The following is a 26,652-nucleotide window of genomic DNA, read 5'->3' on the forward strand; positions in this document are numbered from 1 at the left end:
TATAAGAAAGAGAATGTAGAAAATGCAATGAAGAGGTCACTGGCTACCTTAAGAGTAGTTTCAATGGACAGGTGAATTTTGAAGCCCGAGTCTGGTGACACAAGAATTGTCTAGGTGCTGAAGAAACAAAGACAATGGGCAAAAGGTGTTCTTATTAGTCATGGTAGATAGAGGAGGGAACAGTGTTTGTCATGGAGGTTTTCAGGACAGAGTAGACTTGTGCATGTTTGTAAATTAGAGAAAGGAGCCTATAGGTGGGAAAAATATGTTCATTTCTGTAATTCCTGATGTGCAAATTTTTGTAGACTCAATTATCACGTACTGAGGCTATACTGCCCTCTTGTGGTGCAGAGTGCCCAGAAACTTTATTCTAAATTAGAAGTCTGCAAACTTGCTGTAAAGGGCCAGACGGCAAATATTTTAGACTTTGAGGATCATTCGGTCTTTGTCATTATTACGCCTTGTAGAGTGAAAGGAGCCACAGATAGCTCTTTGAGGAAGACCTGGTCCCAGCTGTACCGGAACTCTGGTCCACCCGCTCCTGCAACTGACTCGCCGCTGTTCACTCTCCAGAGGAAATCATGCCACAGACGCAGCTTTTAACAACATGAGAAAGACATCCCTGGAACCACAAGTTAATTCACTGAATTAGAATTACCCTAACCGGCCAGGCGCGGTGGCTCACGTTTGTAGTCCCAGCATTTCGGAAGGCCAAGGCAGGTGGTGGATCACTTGAGCCCATGTTCAAGACTAGCCTGGACAATATAGAGAGACTCTTTCTCTACAAAAAATACAAAATTTATTCGGGCGTGGTGGTGCGCACCTGTGGTCCCAGCTACTTGGGGGGCTGAGGTGGGAGGATCTCTTGAGCCCAGGAGGTCGAGGCTGCAGTGAGCTGATATCGCGCCACTGAACTCCAGCCTGGGCGACAGAGCGAGACCCTGTCTCTGAAAATAAAATTACCCTAACTAGCTGCAACCTGACATCCCTGGAGAAGATGTGTGCTGACTTGATCAAAAGTGCAAAGGAAAATAATCTCAAAGTGAAAGGACCATTTTAGATCCCTACCAAGATTCTAAGAATCACTAAGAGAAAAACTCCTGTGGTGAAGTTTGTTTAAGACTTGTAAGAATCCAAGATAAATCCCCATAAGAATCCACAAGCGACTCACTGACTGACACAGAACTTCTGAATTGCTAAATTGATTACTTTCATCAGTATTGAGCCAGCTGTTGAAGTCACCTCTGCACAGGATTAATCAATTTTCTTTAAGTGATTATCAGTTGGTTAAAAAAGAAAAAAAGTAGCCACAGATAATACATAAATAGGTAGGAGTATTTCAATAAAACTTTATTTACAAAAAATATGTAGGGGTCAGATTTGGCCTGCAGCCTCTGGTTTGCTGGCCCTTGATCTAAACCTGTGTTCTCAATATTTGGACGGAACATTAAAGTCATCTGGGGATTATTTTTGTTTGTTTTTAAGAGAATAACTCCTGGTCTTGAAGGATCCTCCCTCCTCAGCCTCCAGAGTAGCTGGAACTACAGGTGTGGCCCACCAGCCTGGCCCTCTAGGGATTGTTTTAAAATAATGCGAGTGCCCAGGCTACACCTCAGACTGATTGAATATGAAACTTTGGGTGTAGGGCCAGGTCACTAGTACTTTATAAAATGCCACCACCAGGGAGGGAGTCCATTGTGCAGTCATGGCTGAGAGCTACTGATTCAAATGAATATGCTTCTAGTTTTAAGTGCAGCCCACCTTTATTGAGTGCTTATTATGTGCCAGGTGCTGAGCTAAGAGCTTTCCATATATTGTATTATCTCATTTAATCCTTAAAGCAACTCTATGAATTGGGAATCATTATGAAGCTCATCTTATAGATAAGGAAACTGAATTTTTGTGAGATTAAGTAATCTGCTCCAGGTTATGTAGCTATTAAGAGAAGAACAGTGATTGAAACTGAGAACATCTGCCTCTAGAGCCTGAGCTTCCCAACGCTAGGCTACTCTATTTGTTACTATTATTTTTAACTGAAAACCACTGAGAACTATGTGAATTGAACTATTTGTATCATATACTATATTTTATTTTTAAAATTTATTTTATAAAATAGAGATGAGGTCTCACTATGTTGACCAGGCTGGTCTCAAACTCCTGGCCTCAAGCAATCCTCCTGCCTCGGCCTCCCAAAGTATTGGGATTACAGGTGTAAGCCACCACACCTGGCCATATACTATATTGTATTTTATTTTTTGCTTTTGAGACAGTCTCAGTCTGTCACCCAGGCTGGGGTGCAGTGGTGCGATCTCCTGGGCTCAAGTGATTCTCATGCCTCAGCCTCCCAAGTGGCTGGGACTACAGATGCCGGCTACAATGCCCGGCTGATTTTTGTATTTTTAGTAGAGATGGGGTTTCACCATGATGGCCAGGCCGGTCTTGAACTCCTGACCTCAGGTGATCTGCCGGCCTCGGCCTCCCAGAGTGCCAGGATTACAGGCGTGAGCCACCGCGCTCGGCATCAATATACTATATTTTAAATAAGGTGGGTAAAGTTAATCACAAGCAATTTTCCCTAGATTTAATAAATGCAATAAATGCAGTTTTTCTAGTGCCACAGCTGTTTTTTTTTTGTTTTTTTTTTTTTTTTTGAGATGGAGTCTCACTCTGTCACCAGGCTGGAGTGCAGTGGCGCGATCTTGGCTCACTGCATTCTTCTTATGAATCAGATTCTTCTCAGATCTTTTCCACAGCTTTAGCACATCATAGAAATTCATTGTTTAAGTACGCTTTCAGTTTGTTTTCTGTTACAGGTTTTCTCTTAGTTTGACTCCACGTGTACTAACTGTTACACGCATCTGTATAAGAGACCACCTGAGCAGGCTTAGTGTGAGCAACAAGGCTGTTTATTCACTTGGGTGCAAGTGGGCTGAGTCCGAGAAAGGAGTCAGCGAAGTGTGGTGGGATTATCATTGGTTCTTATAAGTTTGGGATAGGCCGTGGAGTTAGGAGCAATTTTTGTGGGCAAAGGATGGATGTTACAAAGTACATTCTCAAGGGCGGGGAGGATGTTACAAAGTACATTCACAAGGGCAGAGAGGACGCATTGTCACAAGGGCAGGGAGGAATGTTACAAAGTACGTTCACAAGGCGGAGGGGGAGACTGTATTGTCACAAGGGCGGGCAGGAGCGTTACAAAGCACATTCACAAGGATAGGGAATATCACAAAGTACATTATCACAAGGGTGGGAGAATGTCACAATGCCTTGACCATGGTGTGGCCAGCTCAGAGGAACTTACACTTAGACTACTAATATTAATCAAAGGCAAAAGTTCAGTATGACTCTTTTAATCTTAGAGGCAGTATAAGACAGTGGTTTTTATTTTTATTTCTTATTCTTATTTATTTATTTAACAGAGATGGTGTCTCACTATGGTGACCAGGCTGGTATCGAACTTCTGGCATCAAGTGATCCTCCCATCTCTACCACCCAAAGTGCTGGGAGCCACTGCACCTGGCCAAGACAGTGTTTTTTCCTGCCTCAGCCTCCCGAGTGGCTGGGACTACAGACATGTCCCAGCATGCCTGACTAATTTTTTTTTTTTCGTATTTTTAGTAGAGATGGGGTTTTACCATGTTGGCCAGGGTGGTCTCGAACTACTGACCTCAATCATCCACCTGCCTTGGCCTCCCAAAGTGAACAGTGTTTTTTTAATATATGAACTTTGGAGATAGTCTGAATTCTAACCCTGCCACTTGTATGTTAGGTACTAACTAGTCTTAGCATTTTAATAAACTGGAATGGGTTGCCTTCCTTCTGACTCTATGTATTCTGTCCTAATGCAGTAGAAGCAAAAAGGAATCAGTCACCTAAGGTGTTTTCAAATAACAACTACCACAACTTTTTCACCACTATAATAATAGCTGAGAGGCTTACTATGTGCTATTTTTAATGCTTTTTATGGGTTAATTCAATTAATTATTTCAACAACCCAGTGAAGCAGGTGTTTTTATTATCTGAAATTTACAGGCAAGGAAACTGAGGTTCAGAGAGGTTAAGTAACTTTTCCAAGGTCACACAGATAATAAATGGCAGAGGGAAGTTTTGAATGCAAGCAAGTCTGACTTCACAAGCTGCACTCTTGACTACTTTCAAAATATTGCTTTTTTATACTAAACTGCCTTCAGTAGGAAATCCCACTGTCATGTATTTATTTATTCAAACCGAAGGGATACTTTTCCAATACCTCCAAAGCAATGATTCCCAGGCTTTAGGGTTTCACAGGCTATTAAAATTTGAAAGAAAATTATGACAACCAACATAGATTTGCCATCTTTAAGTTTTCAAGATAAAGGAACCTTAAAAAGCAAACACCTCCTGTGAGCATTTACTATTAGTGCAAAATAAATAACAACCTTTTTTTTTTTTTTGAGATGGAGTCTCGCTCTGTCGCCCAGGCTGGAGTGCAGTGGTGCGATCTCGGCTCACTGCAACCTTCGCCTCCTGGGTTCAAGCTATCCTCCCAAGTAGTTGGGACTACAGTCACCCGCCACCATGCCCGGCTAATTTTTGTTTTTGTTTGTTTGTTTTTTAGTAGAAACAGGGTTTTACCATGTTGGCCAGGCTGATCTTGAACTCCTGGCCTTGTAATGCACCCTCCTCGGCCTCCCAAAGTGCTGGGAGTACAGGTGTGTGCCACCGTGCCGGGTCTAAAGGACAGTTTAATACCAAAAAAGTAGGGTGGACATAATCTAGAAATATAGCATTCGAATGCTGTATATATTTATCTGCTGTCCTTGAATTTCCCACTTTTCTGAGGAAAATATTTGAAAACAACATTTTCCTTTCACTTTCTTCCTAATAGCTAGGTTAAGCCACTTGCATTTAAACATAATAACAATTTTAGTAACTTTTACTTGTCTTCCTAGCAAGAACTTGTATCTTCTGGTCTGGAGATTAACAGTGCTATTAATTAAAAATTGTTGCTTTTTAATAAAAGGTGGAATGAAAGAGTAGGATCATTTGTTCCACTATATTGGCCCAAGGACTTAAGAGTCTCAGAGGATTTGCTTAAAATCTTCTCAGTCTAGAAATTTTGAAAGATGAAATAAACAGTTTTGAGGCCGGGCGCGGTGGCTCACGCCTGTAATCCCAGCACTTTGGGAGGTCGAGGTGGGTGGATCACAAGGTTAGGAGTTCAAGACCAGCCTGGCCAATTTGGTGAAACCCCGTCTGTACTAAAAATACAAAAAAATTAGCCAGGTGTGGTGGCACATGCCTGTAATCCCAGCTACTCGGGAGGCTGAGGCAGGAGAATTGCTTGAATCCGGGAGGCGGAGGTTGCAGTGAGCTGAGATCGTGCCACTGCACTCCAGCCTGGGTGACAGAGTGAGACTCCGTCTCAAAAAAAAAAAAAAAGAAATAAACAGTTTTGGGAACTAGCATTTCTTTCATCCAATGCATTAAAATAGTAATTATACTGCTGAAAAATGAGACAACATTCTTGTTAAAACCCAAGTTTTTTATAGTGACATTGTAATAGGGTTTATGTTTCTTGTAACTTTGATTTCCTCCAGAATCTGAATGCCTGAGTGTTTTCAACAGGGTGCCACATGAGTAGAAATCTACATCTATGTGAACCTTGTGAAATTTTTATTACACTTTTTTTGGTCTTTTTTTTTTTTTACCTTTTTGTGGAGAATGGGGTCTTGTTGCCCAGGCAGGTCTCAAACTCCTGAGCTCAAGTATTCTCCCGCCTCCACCTCCCTAGGTGCTGGGATTACAAGCGTGAGCCACCATACCCGGCCATGAATTTTTTATTGATAACGTTGTGAAATGAGAAGCCTCAGCACTTACCATCTGCATTTTGAACTGGACTACAAACATGAATTACATATAAATAGAAACCTTATTTGAAAGAATTTTCTTTTGTTAACAGCTTATTAGACATTTGTTTCATGTTGTAACTTTAGATAAATTAAATTTGAATATTTCATAATTGTAATCAATTCTCTTCAGCTTCAATTTTAATTCCTAATTGATTCAAGCCTATTAGCAAGATCCCTGGTGGTAGTCTGTTACATAATGTTAGTAAAAGGCCTGAGGTTTTTCTCCTAACAAACTTGGTGCCAGCTCGTTAGACTGAAAATAAGATACTCTCTGGTAGATCCAGCGGATTGGATGCCTGGGTCCTAAGTTTCCCAAGCCAGGGATTATCACCTTTTAGGAGCTGCAAGGAAGTTAGAAGGATAAAGGAGAATAACTTAGGAAACCAAATAACTTCTTATGTGTCGCGGTGATACTTTTCTTTTTTTTTTAATTTATTTATTTATTTACTTTTCATGCGCGTCTGTGTGAAGAGACCACCAAACAGGCTTTGTGTGAGCAATAAAGCTCTTAATCACCTGGGTGCAGGCGGGCTGAGTCGGAAAAGAGAGTCAGTGAAGGGAGATAAGGGTGGGGCCGTTTTATAGGATTTGGGTAGATAAAGGAAAATTGCAGTCAAAGGGGATTTGTTCTCTGGTGGGCAGGAGTGGGGGTCGCAAGGTGCTCAGTGGGGGAGCTTTTTGAGCCAGGAAAAGGACTTTCACAAGGTAATGTCATCACTTAAGGAAGGACTGGCCATTTTCACTTCTTTTGTGGTGGAATGTCATCAGTTAAGGCGGGGCAGGGCATTTTCACTTTTGTGATTCTTCAGTTACTTCAGGCCATCTGGGCGTACACGTGCAAGTCACCAGGGATGCGGTGGCGTGGCTTGGGCTCAGAGGCCTGATAATACTAGCCCAGGGTCCTGCTCCCTTACAGTTCTGTAATCTTCACTCAGTGACTCGCTTCTGTCTCAATACAAAGGAAAGACGTTATTTTTTCTTTTTCTCCTTTTTTTTTTTTTGAGGCAGGGTATCGCTCTGTAGCCCAGGCTGGAGTGCAGTGGCGCAATCATGGCCCACTGCAGCCTTGACCTCCTGGACTCAAGTGACCTTCCTGCCTCTGCGATAGTTTTTCATGGATGCTTCTAGTAGTTTTTTGGAGGTATGGTGTGTTAGGAACAAACTGCCCCAAAAAGCTTCTTGGTACTGCCGACACTTCCCCCAAACCTCTCCGTGCTGCTCACTCCTCCCCCTAATGCTCTGCAACTCTTCTCCTTCCCCCAAGCCTCTTTACACTTCTAAGTCCTTATGAAGCCAGCAGACTTCACTTATCAGACCTTGCTGCAATAAACAAACCCCAATTACAAATCATCCGGACCGCACAGGGGAAGGTGATGGGAAGCATAAACAAACTTTACCTACACCCTCCTGTAATAAACGTCACAAGCTAATATGTGGCAAAATTAACCAGCAAACAACCCCAGGGTCTCTCTCCCCCATATAAACCCCTCATTTTGTAAGCTCAGGGGTGCCTCCTCTGTCTGTGGTGGAGCAGCCGTCAGGTTAATAAACTTCCTCGGCTGACCTTGGGTCTCTCTTTCGTCCTTTCTCTCGGCTAACCTTATATGGTGATAGATTGGAAACTTTTTTTTTTTTGAGACGGAGTCTTGCTCTGTCGCCCAGGCTGGAGTGCAGTGACCCGATCTCAGCTCACTGCAAGCTCCGCCTCCCGGGTTCATGCCATTCTTCCGCCTCAGCCTCCCGAGTAGCTGGGACTACAGGCGCCCGCCACCACGCCCGGCTAATATTTTGTATTTTTAGTAGAGACGGGGTTTCACCGTGTTAGCCAGGATGGTCTCGATCTCCTGACCTCGTGATCCGCCCGCCTCGGCCTTCCAAAGTACTGGGATTAGGGGCGTGAGCCACCGCGCCCGGCCGATTGGAAGCTTTTAAGAACTCCTTCTCCTATTTTGAGAATTCAGAAATTTATTTATAGCTTTCGTAAAATAGAGTGAAGACTCTTACAGACCTATGTTAGACTAGCAGGCGCTCAGTCTCTGTGGTCCGAGATAGAGCACGAAGATGACAGTGTATATGCATTTTGGTGCTGAAGTGGACCTGGAGTGTGGACAGAGGAGTTACTAAGAAGAATCCCGGAGACCAGGATGTAAACTCTCAATTCTAATCAACACAGGTGTGGGCTATGGTTCTGAGACACCATTCATCTCACACGAGGTACGGCGATACGCGACACCACCCAGTACAACAGCTCTCTCTCCACCTGGAACCCGGACCCAGCTTGATTCGCGGGTGCCGGATGATGACGTATCCTTGCACCTGGCGATGATTGGTTCGCGTGGAGAGGCGTCGTCCGACAACGCGACTCGGAACCCGGACCTATGTTCTCGCGAGAGTTAGCGGCCTCCGGTGTGGGATGGCCGCGGAGCCGGGCGGAGCTGGCTTGCGGCTCCCGGGGCCGGCTCTCCGGCCGGAGACATGGCCCGGGGGCCCGGCCCGCTAGGCAGGCCTCGCCCCGATACGGTCGCCATGCCCAAGAGAGGAAAGCGACTCAAGTTCCGGGCCCACGACGCCTGCTCCGGCCGAGGTGGGCGAGGGGGGCAGGGGCGCTGAAACATTTTGGGGGCTGGCGGCTGGGAGGGGGCTGGACCGTGCCGAGGTGAGCGCTCGCGTGCCCGCGGCTGGAGGGCGGCTCGGTCCGGGGGCCTGCAGCGAGGAGGAGGTGTTGGCGGGGAAGACGCTGACGAGAGAAGGCCTCTTCCTTGAGGGTTGGTGCTGTGTTGCAGTGACCGTGGCGGATTACGCCAACTCGGATCCGGCGGTCGTGAGGTCTGGACGAGTCAAGAAAGCCGTAGCCAACGCTGTTCAGCAGGAAGGTAAGCTTTGCGCGAGCCTTTAAAGACTCATGCCGCGAAGACAGAACTAGGTATTTTATTTCTGTTTTTCTTGCAGTCCTTTAGTCGTCTTCCTGTAACCGTGTTTGCTTTCGTTAGTGTTAACTTACATATTGGGGTGGAGGAGGATTAGTCAAGAGTAGCAGTTTCTGTAGCAGAAATATTTTCTTTCTTTCTTTGCATTTAAAAACATGTTTGCATACTTTTTAGTTTCCACTGCATTCTTCTTGGTTATTAATCTCTTTGCTGTAGTTCACATGTTTTACTCTGCAGTTTGCTTCCTTGTTTAATAACCTTGGAGTGTTCTTTTCCTTTTCTGGTGTTTCTCTTGCTTTCAGTCTGTTTACTCATGGGTCTGAGACTTGTGTTTTATGACACCTACTGCCTCCAGCTCAGGACCAGGATTAAATTGGATTCAATTTGTCTCAAACATTTCTCTGTAGACCTTATGAGAATACAAATCAGCTTTTATCCTGCAGGGTTTATAGTGGAAAAATTGTACACACCTTTTTTCTTCAGGGCTGAAAAAAGGAGTTTCTGCAACTTTGGAGTCAGTTTGCCCATTGCTTTCCTTTTTTTTTTTTTTTTTTGTATTTAAAATACTAAAATCTTTATTTTTTTTGGTGACAGATTCTCACCTTTCTCTCTCAACGATGTTTTTTTTCCCCCCTTTCCTGAATGGATGCTGATACCTTGGCTAAGTTGTTTGTATTTCTGGGTGGAGCTGTGTGCCATCTCATTCTCCTTTTATTTTCTTCTAGTAAAATCTCTTTGTGGCTTGGAAGCCTCTCAGGTTCCTGCAGAGGAAGCTCTTTCTGGGGCTGGTGAGCCCTGTGACATCATCGACAGCAGTGATGAGATGGATGCCCAGGAGGAAAGCATCCATGAGAGAACTGTCTCCAGAAAAAAGAAAAGCAAGAGACACAAAGGTATGGAGCTTGTTCTCTTTTGGTTTATTAGACCTGCCTGTGGTGACAAATTGAAGATGTTACTTTCCCAGTAGCACAGGAGGAGATATAAGACGTGATACCAGGAGAGTTTAAAGAAAACTTGGCTCTCCCTAAGAACCTTGGTAGTGGGCCGGGATTTAATACACCTGGGCTTTCTTTTTTCTTTTGTCTGAATTCGAGAGGGAAAGAGATTAGTACGTGTTAGTAGAGTTCTGGAGCTGTGAACTGGACTCTAGTAGCCCTTCATTGAGAACATGTTATTATCAGGTAAAAACCCATAAGGCAATGTGAAAATAAAAGGCCTTTGCATTTCTGGATTTCTGAATGTGTAAGGAAGCAGAGATGTAACCAAAAAATGTTTTCCAAAGTATGTGGATTTTACGTTAACTAGTTTTGTTACACACAAACATAGACATTATCGTGGGCTTTTAAGTGCTCTGCAATTAGTAATGTCTGCTTTATGTCTAATAAGTATTGTGGGAAATAGAAAAGTAGGTGATTTTTTTATATCCTAATGGCAATGAAATGTACACAAATGAAACAAAGAATAATAAACTGATGATAATATAACGTGCCAAACCATCATTCAGATTCTGGGTTTTCCTTCAGACTTAATGAGTCAGAATCTCTTGGGGTGGAACTCAGAATTTTTATTTATTTATTTTTTTGAGACAGGGTTTTGGTCTCTTGCCTGGGCTGGAGTGTAGTGGAAAGATCATGGCACACTGCAGCCTTGACTTCCCAGGCTTAAGCGATCCCCCCATCTTAGCCTTTTGAGTAGCTGGGACTACAGGTGCTATGCCATCATGCCTGCTAATTTTTTCTATTTTTTGTAGAGACAGGGGTCTCACTATGTTGCCTAGGCTAGATTTGAGCTCCTGGGCTCAAGCAGTCCACCCACCTTGGCCTCCCAAAGTGCTGAGATTACAGGCATAAGCTACCATGCTTAGCCCAGAATTTTTAAAGCTAAAGTGGTTCTGATGATCAGCTACGTTTAGGTGAAAGCCGATAAATAATGGTGAGGCCAGGCATGGTGGCTCACGCTTGTAATCCCAACACTTTGGGAGGCTGAGGTGGGCAGATCACAAGGTCAGGAGTTCGAGACCATCCTGGCCATTATGGTGAAACCCTGTCTTTACTAAAAATACAAAAATTAGCTGGGCGTGGTGGTGTGCACCTGTAGTCCCAGCTACCAGGGAGGCTGAGGCAGGAGAATCGCTTGAACCTGGGAGGCGAAGGTAGCAGTGAGCCGAGATTGCATTGCACCACCACATCTCCAGCCTGGTGACAGAGCAAGACTCTGTCTCAAAAAAAAAAAGAAAAAAATAATAGTAAATGATGTATGTATTTTTGGTCTCAGATTTACCAGCACTTTCACCTGTACCTGAGAATCAGATAATAGATATTTTTATTTGTTAAAGTATATTGAAGTAATAAGTTAATGAAATTAATGGTATGATTGCTTTGGAATTATTCTAGTTATTGTTAGTCATATCCCTCTTTTTCAGGATCCCAAAATTAAAACAGGTCGAGCATTCCAAATCTGAAAAGCTCCAAAATTTGAAATTTTTGGAGCAATGACATGATGCTGAAAGGAAATGCTTATTGGAGCACTTTGGATTTCTGATTTTCGATTAGGGCTGCTCGACCAATAAGTACGGTCAAGATATTCCAAAATGCGGGAAAAGCCAAAATCTGAAACACCACTGGTCCTGAGCATTTCTGATAAGGGATACTCAACCAGTATTGACATTCTTCATACTTCTTTGTCCTTAATTTTTCACTTGAAATCGCTACTTATCACCATTCTATTAGGGATTTATCTTCTTGTTGTTTTGGACTTGTTCCACAGAATGGCTTTGACTTAAAACAAAAAATTGAGATAAAATTTATTCCTTTAAAGTGTACAATTCAGTGGTTTTAGCATATTCACAGAGTTGTGCAACCATCAACATGGTCTAAGTTTAGAACATTTCCATTACTCTAAAAAGAAACCCCATACTTATTAGCATCCCTTCTCATTCCAAACCCTCCTCCAGCCCTTGGAAACCACTAATCTACTTTCTGTCTCTACAGACTTACCTATTCTGACATTTCATGTAAATGGAATCATACAATATATAGTCTTTTGCATGTAGCTTCTTTCATTTAGCATAATGTTTTCAAGGTTCATCCATACTATGCATGTATCAGTATCTCATTCTTTTTTATTCCTTTTTATTTGGCTGCTATGAATAATGCTGCTGTGAACATTCATGGACAAGTTTTTCTGTGGACATAGGTTTTTTTAGTTTTGGTTAGATAGGAGTGAAATTGCTGGATTATACAGAAACTCTATGTTTAACTTTTGGAGGAATTGCCAAACTGTTTTCCAAAGTGTGTGCATCGTTTTATATTTCCACCAGCAGTGTATAAGAGTTCCAGTTTCTCTACATCCTTATCAACACTTGTTATTGTCTGACTTTTAAAATTATAATGGATGTGGATTGGTATCTATCTCCTTGTGGTTTTGATTTGCATTTCCCTGATGGCTAATGATATTTGCCCATTTTTAAATTGGGTTATCTTCTTCTTATTATTTTTTTATTTTTTGAGATGGAGTTTCACTCTTGTTGACCAGGCTGGAGTGCAATGTCGTGATTTCGGCTCACTGCAACCTCTGCCTCCCGGGTTCAAGCGATTCTCCTACCTCAGCCTCCCGAGTAGCTGGGATTACAGGCATGCACCACCACGCACAGCTAATTTTTTGTAATTTTTAATAGAGATGGGATTTCTCCATATTGGTCAGGCTGGTCTCGAACTCCAGACCTCCGGTGATCCACCTGCCTCGGCCTCCCAAAGTGTTGGGTTTACAGGTGTGAGCCACCGCACCCGGCTATCTTTTTATTATTGAATTGTAAGACTTCTTTATCTATTCAGATTACTAGTCACTTATCAGATACATGATTTATGGCTTACAGGCACTTAACCATAATTCATATTTTACTTCCTTATTCTACTTTACCTCCATTAGGTTTCTCCATTCCATCAGACTGGTCTTTTTTTTTTTTTTTCTTTTTAAATTTCTTTTTATTTTATTGTTTCAGCAGGTATAATGTATTTTTCTTCTTTTTTTAAAAGCCTTTTTTTTAATGAAACATGTAGAAGAAGAGAGAATAGTCTGATTATAACTCCATATAACTATTCCCTGCTTCAACAATGATCAACTCATGGCTATTAAAAAGTTTTTTTTCTCTTTCTTTTTTTAATTAACATTTTGTTTTTATATGCTGTCAACTCACGGCCATTTTTACTTCAACCATTACCCCCCACTCCATCACACACACACACACACACACACACACACACACACACGGTTATTTTGAAACGGCCATTTTTACTTCAACCATTACTCCCCACTCCATCACACACACACACACACACACACACACACACACACACACACACGGTTATTTTGAAACAATTTCCAGATATACCATCATCTTTGTAAATATTTTAGTAGTTATCTTTTTAAAAATACCATTATCACATCTAAAAGACTTTAACAGTAATTTCTCAATGTTATTAAAATCTTGTTAGACTTTTCTGTTTACTGTTCTCACATGTTTTGCTTTTCTGAGTCCCTTGGTTTCATGTTAGCACTTACTTGACATGCTTTTCCTCTTAACCTATGCCTATCAAAATTCTTCATGTCCTTCATGATTTATCTCCATGAAGCTTTCATTTACTGATTCTATTTCCTTCGTTTTGAAAGCTCTTAATAATTATGTATAAAACACTGACAATTCTTCATTATTTACTAAATTTTGTTTCTAAAGACAGAAAATTTGTAATAGCACTCTGCTTTGTAAAAGTCCTTATGGGTCTCAGTAGAGGAAATTTTTGTTTGTTTTTTTGGTTTTTGTTTCGGTGTTTTGAGACAGGGACTCACTCTGTTGCCCAGGCTGGATTGCAGTGGTGCAGTCATGGCTCACCGCAGCCTCGACATCCTGGGCTTGATTGATCCTTGCACCTCAGCCTCCTGAGTAGCAGAGACTACAGGCATGCACCACCATGGCTGGCTAATTTTTAAGTTTTTTGTAGAGACTGTGTTGCCCAAGCCGATCTCGAACTCCTGGGCTCAAGCCATCCTCCCACCTTGGCCTCCCAAAGCGTTGAGATTACAGGCATGAGCCACTGCACTCAGCCACAATAGAGGAAATTTTAATAGTCGTTTGCCTTCTCTTTCAAAGAGAGAAGAGGTAATGTGGGAGAAAGTGGGGCCTAGACATGGTAGACTGTGTCTTGCATGATTACTGGAGATTATAAGAAGGATAAGAATTAGAAAAGATGATGATGTTTTAGACATATTGGGTCTCTGTTGTGAAGAACCTAACCAAATAACCTGATCTAATCATAGAGCTGTAGGAAGCAGTTAGCTAGAAAAGCGGGGGCAACTTTGGGGAGATGGTGTAGGGGCTTTTTCCCCAGGAAGGAAGAAAGCTGGTCATTTTAGGATAGTTCTATGACTAGGTTTGAAATAAGGGTTAAGGTTAGGATTAGCTCAGATTCAGGTATCTTTACAAAGCATGTGTATTACCTGAACCTGAGAAGTATAGTGGACATCAAGGTCAAGAGAATTAATGCTAATGAGTTCTGGAGAATTAATGCTAATGAGTTCTGAAGAAGGAAGAGATAGGGACACTTTTTTTTTTTTTTGAGATAGAGTTTCACTCTGTCGCCCAGGCTGGAGTGCAGTGGCGCTATCTCGGCTCACTGCAAGCTCCGCCTCCTGGGTTCACGCCATTCTCCTGCCTCAGCCTCCCAAGTAGCTGGAACTACAGGCAGCTGCCACCACGCCCGGCTAATTTTTTTGTATTTTTTAGTAGAGAAGGGGTTTCAGTGTGTTAGCCAGGTTGCTCTCGATCTCCTGACCTCGCGATTCGCCCACCTCGGCCTCCCAAAGTGTTGGGATTACAGGCGTGAGCCACCGTGCCCGGCCTAAGTGCCATCTCAGCTCACTGCAACCTCCACCTCCTGGTTCAAGCGATTCTCCTGCCTCAGCCTCCCACGTAGCTGGATTACAGGCACGTGCCACCACGCCCAGCTAATTTTTGTATTTTTAGTAGAGATGGAGTTTCACCATGTTGGCCAGGATGGTCTCGATCTCTTGACCTCGTGATCTGCCTGCCTTGGCCTCCCAAAGTGCTGGGATTACAGGCGTGAGCCACTACGCCCGGCCTGCCTATACCATCTTAAAGTCAATTTTGTTTTTTTTCCTGACTGAAAATGTTTAGTGGGTGGAGACTTAAACCATGAGCAGGGCTTAATAGCATAAAGCTGGAATTCGGAGTCGGAAACTCTTGGTTCTATTTCCCTTGACTGAGTGGCAAGGTTTTGTTTTCTTATTAGTAAAATGGGCGCAATAATATTTTTCTTATTCCATTGAAGAATTATTAGAGTTGAATGATACAACGTGTGCAAAGGCACTTTTGAAACTTCAAAATGATGGTCAGGTGCAGTGGCTCACGCCAGTAATCCCAGCACTTTGGGAGGCCAAGGCGGGTGGATCACTTGAGGCCAGGAGTTCGAGACCAGCCTGGTCAACATGGTGAAACCCCATCCCTACTAAAAATACAAAAATTTGCTGGGTGCGGTGGAGTGTGCCTGTAGTCCTAGCTACTCTGGTGGCTGAGGCATGAGAATTGCTTGAAACCAGGAGGCGGAGGTTGTATTGAGCTGAGATTGCACCACTGCATTCTAGCCTGGGCACCACTGCATTCCAGCCTGGGCAACAGAGTGAGACTCTGTCCCAAAAAAAAAAAGTTAAACTTCAAAATGGTATCGCCAATAGTTGTTAAATAAAGGCCTTAAGAACAAAACCTATTTACTTGGGCAACAGGAGGTAAAAGTTTCCAGCAGCTAGGATGAGCAGGAAATGATAAGTTTGAGGGGTTTCCTTGGACCTATTTAAAACCATTTTCTTAACTGTGCAATCAATCCTTGGGAGAAATGAAATTATCGAGTATCTTTAGATATGGTGTAGAAGATCAGAGATTATTCTTTTTTTTGTTTCAGAAGAACTGGACGGGGCTGGAGGAGAAGAGTATCCCATGGATATTTGGCTATTGCTGGCCTCCTATATCCGTCCTGAGGACATTGTGAATTTTTCCCTGATTTGTAAGAATGCCTGGACTGTCACTTGCACTGCTGCCTTTTGGACCAGGTTGTACCGAAGGTGCGACCACAGAGAGCTCACTCTTTTATCTGTGTGGCTGATTTCATTACTGTTTGTGATTTGGAGCTACTCACTGGATGGTGACCTCTTTTCACTTTCTCTACTCCATGTCTGGGCATGACCCAGCTTTGGACTCCTTGAGCCCCTCTCTAATTTAAATTTGATATTATTAATTATCCAGGTAATTGTCTTCCGTGTGGTTGCCTCCTTCCCCACTCCAGTATCCACTTTCAGCAAAACGTCTTGCTTCAAGTCCCAGATAGAAGAGTCTTTGACTTTTCTTCAGAGGCTTATTTTAGCTAGAATGTTTAAAGCTACAGATGCCTATCTGCTCATCTTTCCAGCTGGATTAGGTGTTGCTTAGATTTGCTAGTTGTCTTTAAGTATTACACAGTTTTTGTATTTATGCAGCCTTATGTATAGTTGTAGTGGTGAGGAGTAGGCAAATTATATGATTAGTAAAAGGGCTAGTTTTTGATGCTAGGTATGGAAGTGTAGTGACAATTGTAAACTGTCAGGCTGTGGTGGGAAGGAATGTTGAAGTAGAAAGGAGTGGAGAACTCACTGTGAGATCTGACTGGAGAACCTGGTGGCTCTTCGCCAGTATAGGTTCCTCCAGGACAGGTTCTTTTTGAGCAGCTAAAGCATAATATACCGATACCAATTCAGAGTTTGCTCTTTTGTTCAGTGAAAAAGTGAGGACTTCAACTTTAAAAATGGATGGAGAACTGCCGGATTACAAGGCAAAGACGTAAAAGTCGCCAAGAGGTCAAGTAGCACTGGGGACAGGCTATCTACTGGCCAGTGGAATAGTGCAGTAAAGTTCATACAGAGACCAGGAGTCTTAGAAAACTGACCTAGAGCAGGAGAGACAGGTCACATATTGGTAGGAGTAATGTGTCATGTTTCAGGCACTACACGCTGGATGCTTCCCTGCCTTTGCGTCTGCGACCAGAGTCAATGGAGAAGCTGCGCTGTCTCCGGGCTTGTGTGATCCGATCTCTGTACCATATGTATGAGCCATTTGCTGCTCGAATCTCCAAGAATCCAGCCATTCCAGAAAGCACCCCCAGCACATTAAAGAATTCCAAAGTAAGTGAGAATTTGTGTTGGGGTTTGACTAATGAACTCTTGTATGGTAGGCCTGTTATCATGGCTTGTCTCCAGCTTCCTTGATGGGGAGGGGTGTAGGTCCCAGGCTGCTAGGGGACTAATGTAAACTTCAGGGCTCAGAGATTTCACTTCTCCAAGACCTTTCTGCTGTGCTGGCTGGCTTATCTTACCTTAAAGCTTTCTGGTGCTTTTAGTGTATTCCTTATTCTTTTTATTTTAATGTATTTGCATACATTGTACATTGGACCACTCTAGATATAATGGTTTTGATGGTTTGGGCTAGGAAGAGCATAACTCAAATGGTAGACGTATGCTGTAATTTTTAAGAGGGGCTTTAAATCACAGTACAGAGGTATAACATGAACATCTCACTATTTTTCTCTTTCTAATGCAACCTTGACATCAGGGATTCCCCTTTATTGTTGACCTCCTTAAGGATTCTGGTGTAGACTTGACTTCTGTAGCATTTGGAAGTGCCCTGTGCCAGGCTATTGCCCGGCTCTGGTAGGTCATCTCATAGACTATAAGGTACCCTGATTCATAAACCTTAGTTCTCTCAAGTTCTTTCTGTGTTCTAGGCTCTTTTTATCTCAGGATTTCCCTGATATTTTATATTCACATATTTATATTCAAGTTTCTGTCATTCTTCTGATTTGTAAATATGTCTACTAGCCTTTGGTCCATTCTCTCTTTTTCTCCTACCTGATGAAATTACTAAATCACCTTTGGCAAACAAGGTTACTCTGTTCCTACCCCAAATCTGATGTTCCATAGCATTTCCCATTCTCTTGTAGTTTGTTTTTATGGTATTGCACATTATATAATGATTCTTCTCCCCTAGTTTAGCTCTAGGGTGATCATATCCTACCTAATACATATTAATTAAAAGGGTACTTTTGATTTCGAGATTATCGAGGTTCCCCCCAGCCTTGTAAACTGAGGTGGTCAGGGCTGTTGGCTGAGCTCAATTTAATATCATGCTAACTGGTGGATTTAGAGAAGGAGTAGAATGCCGGGAGAGTAGAATTTCACCCAGCAGCTGCTTCTGCTTGTAATATGAGTGGACAGTGTATCTTCTCACATTTACAGTGTCCCTTTCCCCCAAAACATTTGATAGTATCAGATTAACTGTGGTGAGCATGGGGATCATCCCAAAGTTAGCCATGCCAGGAGTGAATCAATTGCTGGGGGCAGAGCAGCATTGGGCAAACTCCTCATGCTTGACACATCTTAGCGGCTCCAGTGCACAATGCAAGTGCTACTGCCTAAATTCTAAAATACCCCTATCTTCATATTCTTATCATTGTCTATTAATTTTTTTAAAGTGGACTGTAAAAAGCCAAAGTAGAATGAAAACTAAGGTCTTAATCCAGATAGTAAGCCCAGGCCATCTGGCTGCTGCTTTTGTGCCTTGTTAGAGATCTTCTGAAGAGGGTATGGGGCCTGCAGTGGCAGATATCCCGTGCATGGCCTTGCCACTTGTATACCCATGATTGCGTGGCATTCAGGGAGTTGCCAGCATGCCTAAAGGAAGTTGTCCCATGTTTCTGGACTCTAGCTTTTCGTATTTGATTCCCCCTCTCTCTCTTTTCAGTAGCATAGCTTGTGTGGGACACTGGAGCCGTTGTGATGGCAGCAGAAGTGTTTTCCCCTTAAAGCCAAGCCCATTAATTTTGATGGAACAGCAGGACGTACAGGGCATGTCTGAAGGGCAGGACAGCTGGCACGGCGGACGACCCACCCCTTATCCCCTGGGAGGTACTTCACTTCTTGTGCTTAACCCTAGCTGTAGCCTGACTTTCACTGAGGGGCTTATTCTAGACAGAATTCAGCCTAGCTCTGTAGTTTCCTTACTGGCTGTCTGCTCCCAGAAGGTCCTGAGCAGTTTGCTTCTATTATAGGGCCAGCCCTCTCTGCCTACCTTATGGCCTTGTATCATCTTGCCTGGTGGCTGCTGGCTCTCCTTACATTTTAATGTAGAGGATTAGCCTGCTGAATCAGAGAGGATGCTCCAGTCTCTAGATACCATGTTTCTGTCTTTGAAGATAAGACAATAGGAGTTGATGTCAGTAGCCTCTGAGGTTGACTTATATTGGTCCCTCCTGTCCTTATTGAACAGCCCTGGGATTGTCCGTTTTTATGTTGCACCAGTGTCAACTTGGGGGTCTATCTGTGCCAAAGTAAAATCTCAGCATTGGGACCGTGGCTGGCTTTAGAGCTGTCAAACAGAAAGGTTTTTGGTGATTATTTTGGTTGTAGTGTATTTTGATTTTTTTCTTTTTCTTTTTCTTGGTTTATTTTATTTTTACTTTCTTATAGTGCTTACTTTTCTGGTGCAGAAAGATTGTTGGGAACAGACAGGAACCAATGTGGGAATTCAACTTCAAGTTCAAAAAACAGGTACGTGGTCTTCTCTTTGTTTTTCAGATAATACCTTGTTCTAAGAGATTTCCCTAGATATCTTTCTTAGTCTGTTTGTGTTGCTATAACAGTACCACAGATTCTGGGTAACTTAAAAAGAACGAACTTTATTTCTTAACAGTTCTGGAGGCTGGGAAGTCCAAGATCAAGGTACTTGCAGGTTTGATGTTTGGTGAGGGCCTGGTCCCTTTGCTTCCAAGATGGTGTCTGATTGCATCCTTCAGAGGGGAGGAACACTTTGTCCTCACATGGTGGAAGGTGGAATGCCAAAAGGGGCTGAGCCTAGTGTGAAGACCCTCTTATAAAGGCCTTAATCCCATTCATGAGGGAGGGCCTCCCCAGTAGGTCACCTCCTAAAAAGGCCCTACCTCTTAATACTATTGTGTTGGAGATTAAGTGTCCACATGAATTTTGGAGGAGACACAAACATTCAAATCATAACACTAGGCATGAAATTGCCTTACTAAAACAGTGTACAGCCTAAAAATCCAAAATCTGAAATGCCTCATAATCTGGAACTTTCTGAGTGGCAACATGATGCTCAAAGGAAATGCCTATTGGAGCATTTTGGATTTTGGGTTTGTGGATTTCAGATGCTCAACTGGTATAATGCAAATATTCCAAAATCTGAAAAAATGGGAAACACTTCTGGCCCCAAGCGTTTTGGATAAGGGATACTCAATCCGAAGTGCCATGAAAACAAAAGGTAAGAGGAACTATGCTGTATTGAAAGACAAGGATAACAACCTACTGCAAAGAGTAAATCTTGAGTGGATCCTGGATAAGAGAACAAAGCTATAAAAGACATTTTGAGGCAATTTAGGAAATCAGAATGTGCTATGGATAAGATGAAATAATTGTTAATTTTCTTATGGGTGATAATGATAATGTGGTTATATGTAAGTGTATGCTGAATTATTTAAGATTGAAGTATAAATGTTAAGAGAACATATTAAGAGAATAGTTCCCAAAAGATTAATTGCAGTTACAGGATAGTGGAAGTCTTAAGTCACCTTTACTTTGTCAATATATTTATATATTATTTAAGCTTATTTACCATTAAAAAAAGCTTTCATTGTGGAAGGAGGAGCCTCATGTATTTCTGAACGTAAGCCTAAGAGACAGAGAAGACAAATTACATGAACTCTCCAGTTGCAAAGCCAATGAAAATTTTTTAAAACCTGGAAAAATTATGCCAGAGGCACATATATTGTTTACTAATCTGATTACTGTCCAAGCCTTGAACAGTGACAGTATTACTCAAAGGACACCTGTATTATTAGGTGTAATTATGATCACCCTATATTCTTATGTGGAATTATGAGCAGATATGGCAATAGGTTTATGGGTTTCTCTCTCACTATGCATATAAAACCCATAAACTCATTACAGAGGAGACAGGTGAAAACACATGGAATGGGGTGGGGTGGGGGGTGCGGGGATGGGGTGGGGAGGGAGATGTTTTCACTTGTCTCCTCTACTTAGTATCTCACTGATGAGACACAAATACTATGAATTATTCTCACGTGATGGCAGGTGGGTTACAGATAAGTTTGTAATTAAAGTAAACCTTATTTTCCTATTGATTTATTTCAAAAACATGGTTCTGGGGAAGAATTTTAGTTCTGATATCTTGCATTTAATAAGATCTGCACAGTCTGTGATATCCATTAGACACTGGTAGAAAGTCCACCTTTCTGAGAAGGGATTGAGAGGCAGTCTTAGTGGTGAAATGTGACTAGAAGCAGACACTAGGATTACTGCAGGAAAGTGAATGCCGAGATTTTCCTTTAGTTCCGAGACTTGTGATTCCTTTATTTTATGGTGTCTGGAATTAGGTGGCCACTTCTGCTTCCATCCCTTTTGTGCAGCAGATGTTCTTTGGAGTCTGACAAGTTACAAGGAATTTGCAGTCTTTCAAACATTGTAGAACCTCTGGTAGAGGCTGTAAGTTTCCATTTCTTGTCAGATGGCAAGGAATACCATCTAAACGAAGCATAAACCCATTGCCACATTTGCTCATCCAAATGTATTTACCCTTCTTTCAAAGGGTAGGTTTTCTTTGATCTCTGTATAGAAACATGTATAAAGAGAGAAGATAAAAGTGTATCTCACTAGCTTTAGTTGAGCCATAGGATTTTCTTTGGTGGACTCTTAGAGCCATATAATGTTTCTTCTAAGCCATTGGATTAATTCTCAGTTCTCTTCAGTCCCCTAGGTTAAAGAGCAAGTGTACAGGAGGATTGCAGCCTCCCGTTCAGTACGAAGATGTTCATACCAATCCAGACCAGGACTGCTGCCTACTGCAGGTCACCACCCTCAATTTCATCTTTATTCCGATTGTCATGGGAATGATATTTACTCTGGTAAGTGGGGACTCAGGATGTCATTCTCAGCTCCTTTTTTTTTTTTTTTTTCATTCTGAAAGGAGGTGAACCGCAGCTCTTTTTTTTTTTTTTTTTTTTAAGAGACGTGGTCTCACTCTGTCACTCAGGCTGAAGTGCAGTGATGGAATCATCACTCATTGCAACCTCAAAACTCCTGGGCTTAAGCTATCCTCTTGCTTCAGCCTCCCAAGTAGTTAGGACTACAGGTGTGCACCACCACCCCTAGCTAATTTTTATTTTTTGTTGCAATGGGTGTCTCACAGCGTTGCTGAGGCTTGTCTCAGACTCCTAGCCTCAAGCAGTTCTTCCACGTCGGCCTCTCAAGTGCTGAGATTATAAGTGTGAGCCACTGCATTCAGCTTTTTTATAGATTTTTGCTATATCTGAGGTTTGAAGGATATTTGTAAATTTAACCATGAAGGAAGGTATCTTTTTTCAAAAAAAAAGTTTGAACTCAGTCCTGTATATTAGCAACAGACAGATTTGTGGAGACATTAATTATATCTGAGAGTATTTTACCTTGTTTCCTTCTTTGTAGGAAAGGGAATGTTTTTGCATTTTCATGTGTAGTGATGATTAATGATTGAGAAACATTATCCTATTAGGAAGAATGATGAGATATATACATGGGCACTGTATGTCAGGACCTTGAGGCATGCATATGGGGTTACAAATGGGATATTAAAATACAGGGTGACCAGCTCAGCTCTGTCCTTTGTGTGATATTATCACTGTTCAAGGCTTGGCCAGTAATTAGTAAACAACGTATGTGCCTCTGGCATATTTTTCCAGGTTTTAAAAATTTTTCATTGGCTTGGCAACTGGAGAGTTCATGTAATTTGTCTTCTCTGTATCTTAGGCTTACATTCAGAAATACATGAGGTTCCCCTTCCACAATGAAAGTAGCTTTTTTAAAATGGTAAATGACTTCAAATAATACATAAATATACTGACAAAGTAAAGGTGACTTAGACTTCCACTATCCTGTAACTGCAATTAATCTTTTGGGAACTGTTCTCTTAATGTGTCTGTTAATATGTATGTACTCTCTCTCTCTCAAATAATTTTGTATAATTGAGATTGTGTCATATATACAGTTTTGTTTTGTTTTTTTTGAGATGGAGTCTCGCTCTGTAGTCCATGCTGGAGTGCCGTGGTGCGCAGTCTCGGCTCCCTGCAACCTCTGTCTCCTGGTTTCAAGTGATTCTCCTGCCTCCGCTTCCCAAGTAGCTATCTGGGATTACAGGTGCCTGCCACCACACCCAGCTAATTTTTGTATTTTTGGTAGAAATGGGGTTTGCTCAGGCTGGTCTCAAACTCCTAACCTCAGACAATCTGCCTGCCTTAGCCTCCCAAAGTGCTCATTAGGGAGGCTTTCTTTAGCATAGTTTAAACGTGAAGCTGAGAAGGCCTTATAAAATTCTCCTTAATTTTTTATATCTTTAAAGGTTGGCTGGGCGTGGTGGCTCATGCCTGTAATCCCAGCACTTTGGGAGGCCGAGGTGGGCAGATCACTTGAGGTCAGGAGTTTGAGACCAGCCTGGCCAACATGGCAAAACCCTGTCTCTACTAAAAATACAAAAATTAGCCGGTCATGGTGGTGCACGCCTATATTCCTAGCTACTTGGGAGGCTGAGGCACAAGAATCGTTTGATCCCAGGAGGCGGAGGTTGCAGTGAGCCGAGATCACATCACTGCACTACAGCCTGGGCAACAGAACGAGGTCCTTTCTCAAAAAAAAAAAAAAAAGGTGTTTGTTTTATAATTTAGAGATTAATCTTGTGGCCTAGCCAGTATAAATTAGTCTGGACTATTTCATTTCAGAGTGAGCTCTTGGAAACCAAGGTTGTGTAAGTTGGATACTGAATTTGCTTTTCCATTTCAGTTTACTATCAATGTGAGCACGGACATGCGGCATCATCGAGTGAGACTGGTGTTCCAAGATTCCCCTGTCCATGGTGGTCGGAAACTGCGCAGTGAACAGGGTGTGCAAGTCATCCTGGACCCAGTGCACAGCGTTCGGCTCTTTGACTGGTGGCATCCTCAGTACCCATTCTCCCTGAGAGCGTAGTTACTGCTTCCCATCCCTTGGGGGCAGCCTCGAGTGTAGTCCATTAGTAATCAGATTCCAGTTTGGACAGGGTGGCTGGATTGTATATCTCGTTAGTAATGTACATGCTCTTCAGGTTCTAGGGCTCCTGTTAGGGGAGGGAGAAATGTTGAATCAAGAGGGAAAACAACTACTATGATTTATAAACATATTTTAATGTAAAAATTTGCATTTAAAAGGAGTGGCCCTGTTTTCTGTGTTAAAACCCCATTTGGTGCTATTGAGTTTGTTCTTTATTCTTTTATCCCAGTGAAAATTGTTGATCTTGCTGTAGGGAAAAATTAAACTCTTTGAATCTCCAAACAAGGAAGTTTCAGCATTCCCTTATGGATCAGAGGAACCTTAGAGGCCTGAAATTGTTGCTTCCAGTTTAGCTGCCCCTCAAATTCAAGTGAATATTTTCCCTTCTCCCTTTACCCTTCTCCAGAAATAAAGCAGGTGACAGGGTTTTCAGAATCTTACCATATTGACTTGTGTATCTTTTTTAAAAAATAATTTGTGATATTTATTGCATACATTTTCTTTTGGCAGTTTTGGATTTTAGGTATTTTTTTGCATGAGGCTGATAATGGTGATGATGACTTTATACCCTTGGTACTATACTAGGAACTTTACATAGTATCTCTACTTCTCACAGTCTTGCAAAGTAGGTGATATTATTCCCATTTTATAGTTGAGAAAACGGAATTAGTGACTGTACCTATAACACCAGTAAATGCAGAGCCAAGATTCTGACCCAGGTCTTTTTGTTGTACCATAAGTTTAAAAGATGAGTCTCATTTTTCTTGTGGTAGATGGTGGTAAAAAGGAGTAGGCAGAGTGTACATAGATAAAAAAAAGTAAAAGGGTAAGTAAAAAATTGATTGTGGTATATGTTATTCTAATCAGCCAAAAAAGTTTAGAAGATTGATGAAATGATCTTTTAAATATGTATTTCTGAATAAAATGTAAAACCAAGAAAGTTATTTCAGGAAGGATAGTGACCCTTTCCTTGAACTGTTAGAAGGGCATTTATTAGGCTAAAACGTCATTAACAAAATGCATTGCATGTTGAAACCAGCCTCTTGAACCATAAGCACTTAGCGACTTTGCTCTGCCCTGTACTGTGCTGCTTCTGCTGTCATCCTGTGTGCCTACAGAAGCCTGGTCTTCCGTCCATGCAGAAATGCTTATGTCCTCCTGTTGTTTAGATGACTCCTATTGTTCAGGTGTACTCTGAGAAGAGAATCACGTTTTTCTGTTTTGCTAAGGAGAAAACCTTGCTGCTTGTCTCTCCTCCCACCCTCCACCATCCAAAATTAACCAGTGAGCTGGATATTACCTGGATATTGCCAGGAGGTGGGCATTAAGACAGTATTCTTTAAAAGTGAAAATCTTGTGAGGCAAACTGCTAAATTCACATTTTTGTTTTTTTTTTTTTACCATCTTCCCTAGGAATATTCCTAGAAAGCATCTGCTTAATTTTGCTGCTAACAGCTAACCTTATCCCACGTTGAGGGTGGTATTAAAACTGTTCACACAGAGTGAGCCTGGGTCAGTCAAAAACAGAATTTGGGCATTTGAGTGATAACAGACAACCTAAGGACAATGAGCACTTTGCAGATCTCTACAATTAAAAGTTGCCTCTTTGAGGCAGGAGGGGAGAAGCACAGTCCCTGCCAGGTTGCCTGAACTAAAGATGCCATGGAGCAGGAGTGTCTTGGTGCATTGTTCCCCGCTTAGGAGTACCTTTAAAAAGGGGGTGAAATAAATTTGGCTTAATAATTGTATTCTGACTCAGCTCTGAGTTTTTTGTGTCAAATTCCATGGTATGGTGACAGATACAGTACTAGATACTGCCTCAGCTCTCTCTCAGCATAATATTGACAAACATTTGGTAAAATGTGTTACCAGTCGTTATCTTGGCTTCAGCCTTCCTCTGCATTGGCTGAGTTGCCGTTTCTAGCATGATACATGCTTTATTAGTGACAGGATGTGAAGTGTCTCAGGGATTTCCTTTTGGTGAGGACCCCAGACCACCCGAAGAAGAATTAGAACTTTCTGGACTACAGGTTATATACTGTGATTTTGCTCTGTCAAGCAACATAAATTGATCCTTGAACGCTGTGAGAGTTATGGACACAGACCCTCACACAGTTGAAAATCTGCTATGACTTTTGACTGCCCGAAAACTTAATAGCCTACTGTTGACTGGAAGCCTTATTGATAACATAAACAGTTGATTAATGTGCATTTTGTATATGTAGTATATACCTTATTATAATAAGCTCGAGAAAAGAAAATGTTATTAAGAAAATCAAAGAAGAGAAAATACATTTACTGTTCATTAAGTGGGTCATCATGTTGAGCAGGCTGACGAGTAAGAAGAGGAGGGGTAGTCTTGCTGTCTCAGGGGTGGCGGGGAAGGAAGAAAATCTGCATGCAACTGGCCCTGTGCAGTTGAAGGCCCTGTTGTTCAAGGGTCACAGATTTAGCTTCACTTACCCACCCCTCAGATCAGAATTACTCAAGATTTCCCTGTCTTCAAAGAGACGCAAGGAAATTATGCCAAATGGTGAATATATTGGGTGGAAGATAAATGAGAGAAGGTTGTATGTGTCACTGATCTCAACTATAGCATTTGCTGCTGATATAGAACATGCTGTGTATATATCTATAAATACACACACATG

The 26,652-nt window shown here is 42.0% G+C and overlaps 1 protein-coding gene and 2 pseudogenes across 19 annotated transcripts in view, besides 8 other annotated features; 2 read left to right on the forward strand and 1 right to left on the reverse strand.

Annotated features, from left to right (window-relative positions):
- The window catches only part of MGAT4FP (MGAT4 family member F, pseudogene), a 20,814-nt pseudogene extending 12,648 nt beyond the window's left edge, over window positions 1-8,166 (reverse strand). Inside the window, exon 1 of the transcript NR_036557.1 lies at window positions 7,900-8,166. The product of NR_036557.1 is annotated as an MGAT4 family member F, pseudogene (transcript). The remainder of the gene's footprint in view (window positions 1-7,899) is intronic.
- On the forward strand, window positions 956-1,240 carry RPS20P8 (ribosomal protein S20 pseudogene 8; annotated as a pseudogene).
- Window positions 6,078-6,852: an enhancer, noted in NCBI's record as "NANOG-H3K27ac hESC enhancer chr1:202974305-202975079 (GRCh37/hg19 assembly coordinates)". NCBI's record gives its function as "activates a minimal SCP1, AML or CMV promoter by ChIP-STARR-seq in primed H9 embryonic stem cells {active_cell/tissue: H9 hESC(primed)}" and the evidence as "EXISTENCE:reporter gene assay evidence [ECO:0000049][PMID:30033119]".
- Window positions 6,078-6,953: a biological region, named in NCBI's record as "CRISPRi-validated cis-regulatory element chr1.10803". NCBI's record gives its function as "regulatory_interactions: TMEM183A".
- Window positions 6,604-6,953: a transcriptional cis regulatory region, noted in NCBI's record as "candidate enhancer chr1.10803 targeted for multiplex CRISPR interference". NCBI's record gives its function as "positively regulates TMEM183A gene expression with high confidence in K562 cells {active_cell/tissue: K562}" and the evidence as "EXISTENCE:mutant phenotype evidence [ECO:0000015][PMID:30612741]".
- Window positions 7,494-7,623: an enhancer, noted in NCBI's record as "active region_2339". NCBI's record gives its function as "activates an Ori minimal core promoter by ATAC-STARR-seq in GM12878 lymphoblastoid cells {active_cell/tissue: GM12878}" and the evidence as "EXISTENCE:reporter gene assay evidence [ECO:0000049][PMID:35858748]".
- Window positions 7,627-8,401: an enhancer, noted in NCBI's record as "H3K27ac hESC enhancer chr1:202975854-202976628 (GRCh37/hg19 assembly coordinates)". NCBI's record gives its function as "activates a minimal SCP1, AML or CMV promoter by ChIP-STARR-seq in naive H9 embryonic stem cells {active_cell/tissue: H9 hESC(naive)}" and the evidence as "EXISTENCE:reporter gene assay evidence [ECO:0000049][PMID:30033119]".
- TMEM183A (transmembrane protein 183A) lies at window positions 8,275-25,749 on the forward strand. 18 transcript variants are annotated; one of them, NR_146286.2, is made up of 9 exons: window positions 8,275-8,475; window positions 8,675-8,764; window positions 9,544-9,711; window positions 15,790-16,130; window positions 16,861-17,041; window positions 18,657-18,820; window positions 19,382-19,462; window positions 21,694-21,849; window positions 23,756-25,749. NR_146286.2 is itself a non-coding variant. In NM_138391.6 (8 exons), exons 1-8 carry the CDS (start codon window positions 8,367-8,369, stop codon window positions 23,939-23,941), a joined length of 1,131 nt encoding a protein of 376 aa, NP_612400.3. In that variant the 5' UTR covers window positions 8,275-8,366; the 3' UTR covers window positions 23,942-25,749. The 18 variants fall into 18 exon arrangements, 8 of the variants coding, with proteins under 8 accessions (NP_612400.3, NP_001309886.1, NP_001309885.1 ...); NR_136530.2 differs by having other exon boundaries at window positions 15,790-15,949; NR_146288.2 differs by having other exon boundaries at window positions 15,790-15,949; window positions 19,402-19,462.
- Window positions 8,334-8,583: a silencer, noted in NCBI's record as "silent region_1714". NCBI's record gives its function as "represses an Ori minimal core promoter by ATAC-STARR-seq in GM12878 lymphoblastoid cells {active_cell/tissue: GM12878}" and the evidence as "EXISTENCE:reporter gene assay evidence [ECO:0000049][PMID:35858748]".
- Window positions 8,334-9,174: a biological region, named in NCBI's record as "H3K27ac hESC enhancer GRCh37_chr1:202976629-202977401".
- Window positions 8,402-9,174: an enhancer, noted in NCBI's record as "H3K27ac hESC enhancer chr1:202976629-202977401 (GRCh37/hg19 assembly coordinates)". NCBI's record gives its function as "activates a minimal SCP1, AML or CMV promoter by ChIP-STARR-seq in naive H9 embryonic stem cells {active_cell/tissue: H9 hESC(naive)}" and the evidence as "EXISTENCE:reporter gene assay evidence [ECO:0000049][PMID:30033119]".

This window comes from Homo sapiens, chromosome 1, assembly GCF_000001405.40.
Source record: "Homo sapiens chromosome 1, GRCh38.p14 Primary Assembly".
NCBI lineage: Eukaryota > Metazoa > Chordata > Mammalia > Primates > Hominidae > Homo > Homo sapiens.

Coding starts and splice junctions, on each gene's coding strand:
- TMEM183A (NM_138391.6), top strand. CDS start 8,367: ATGGCCCGGGGGCCCGGCCCGCTAGGCAGGCCTCGCCCCGATACGGTC. Junction 8,476..8,674: donor CGACGCCTGCTCCGGCCGAG/GTGGGCGAGGGG, acceptor GCTGTGTTGCAG/TGACCGTGGCGGATTACGCC. Junction 9,712..15,789: donor GAAAAGCAAGAGACACAAAG/GTATGGAGCTTG, acceptor TTTTTGTTTCAG/AAGAACTGGACGGGGCTGGA.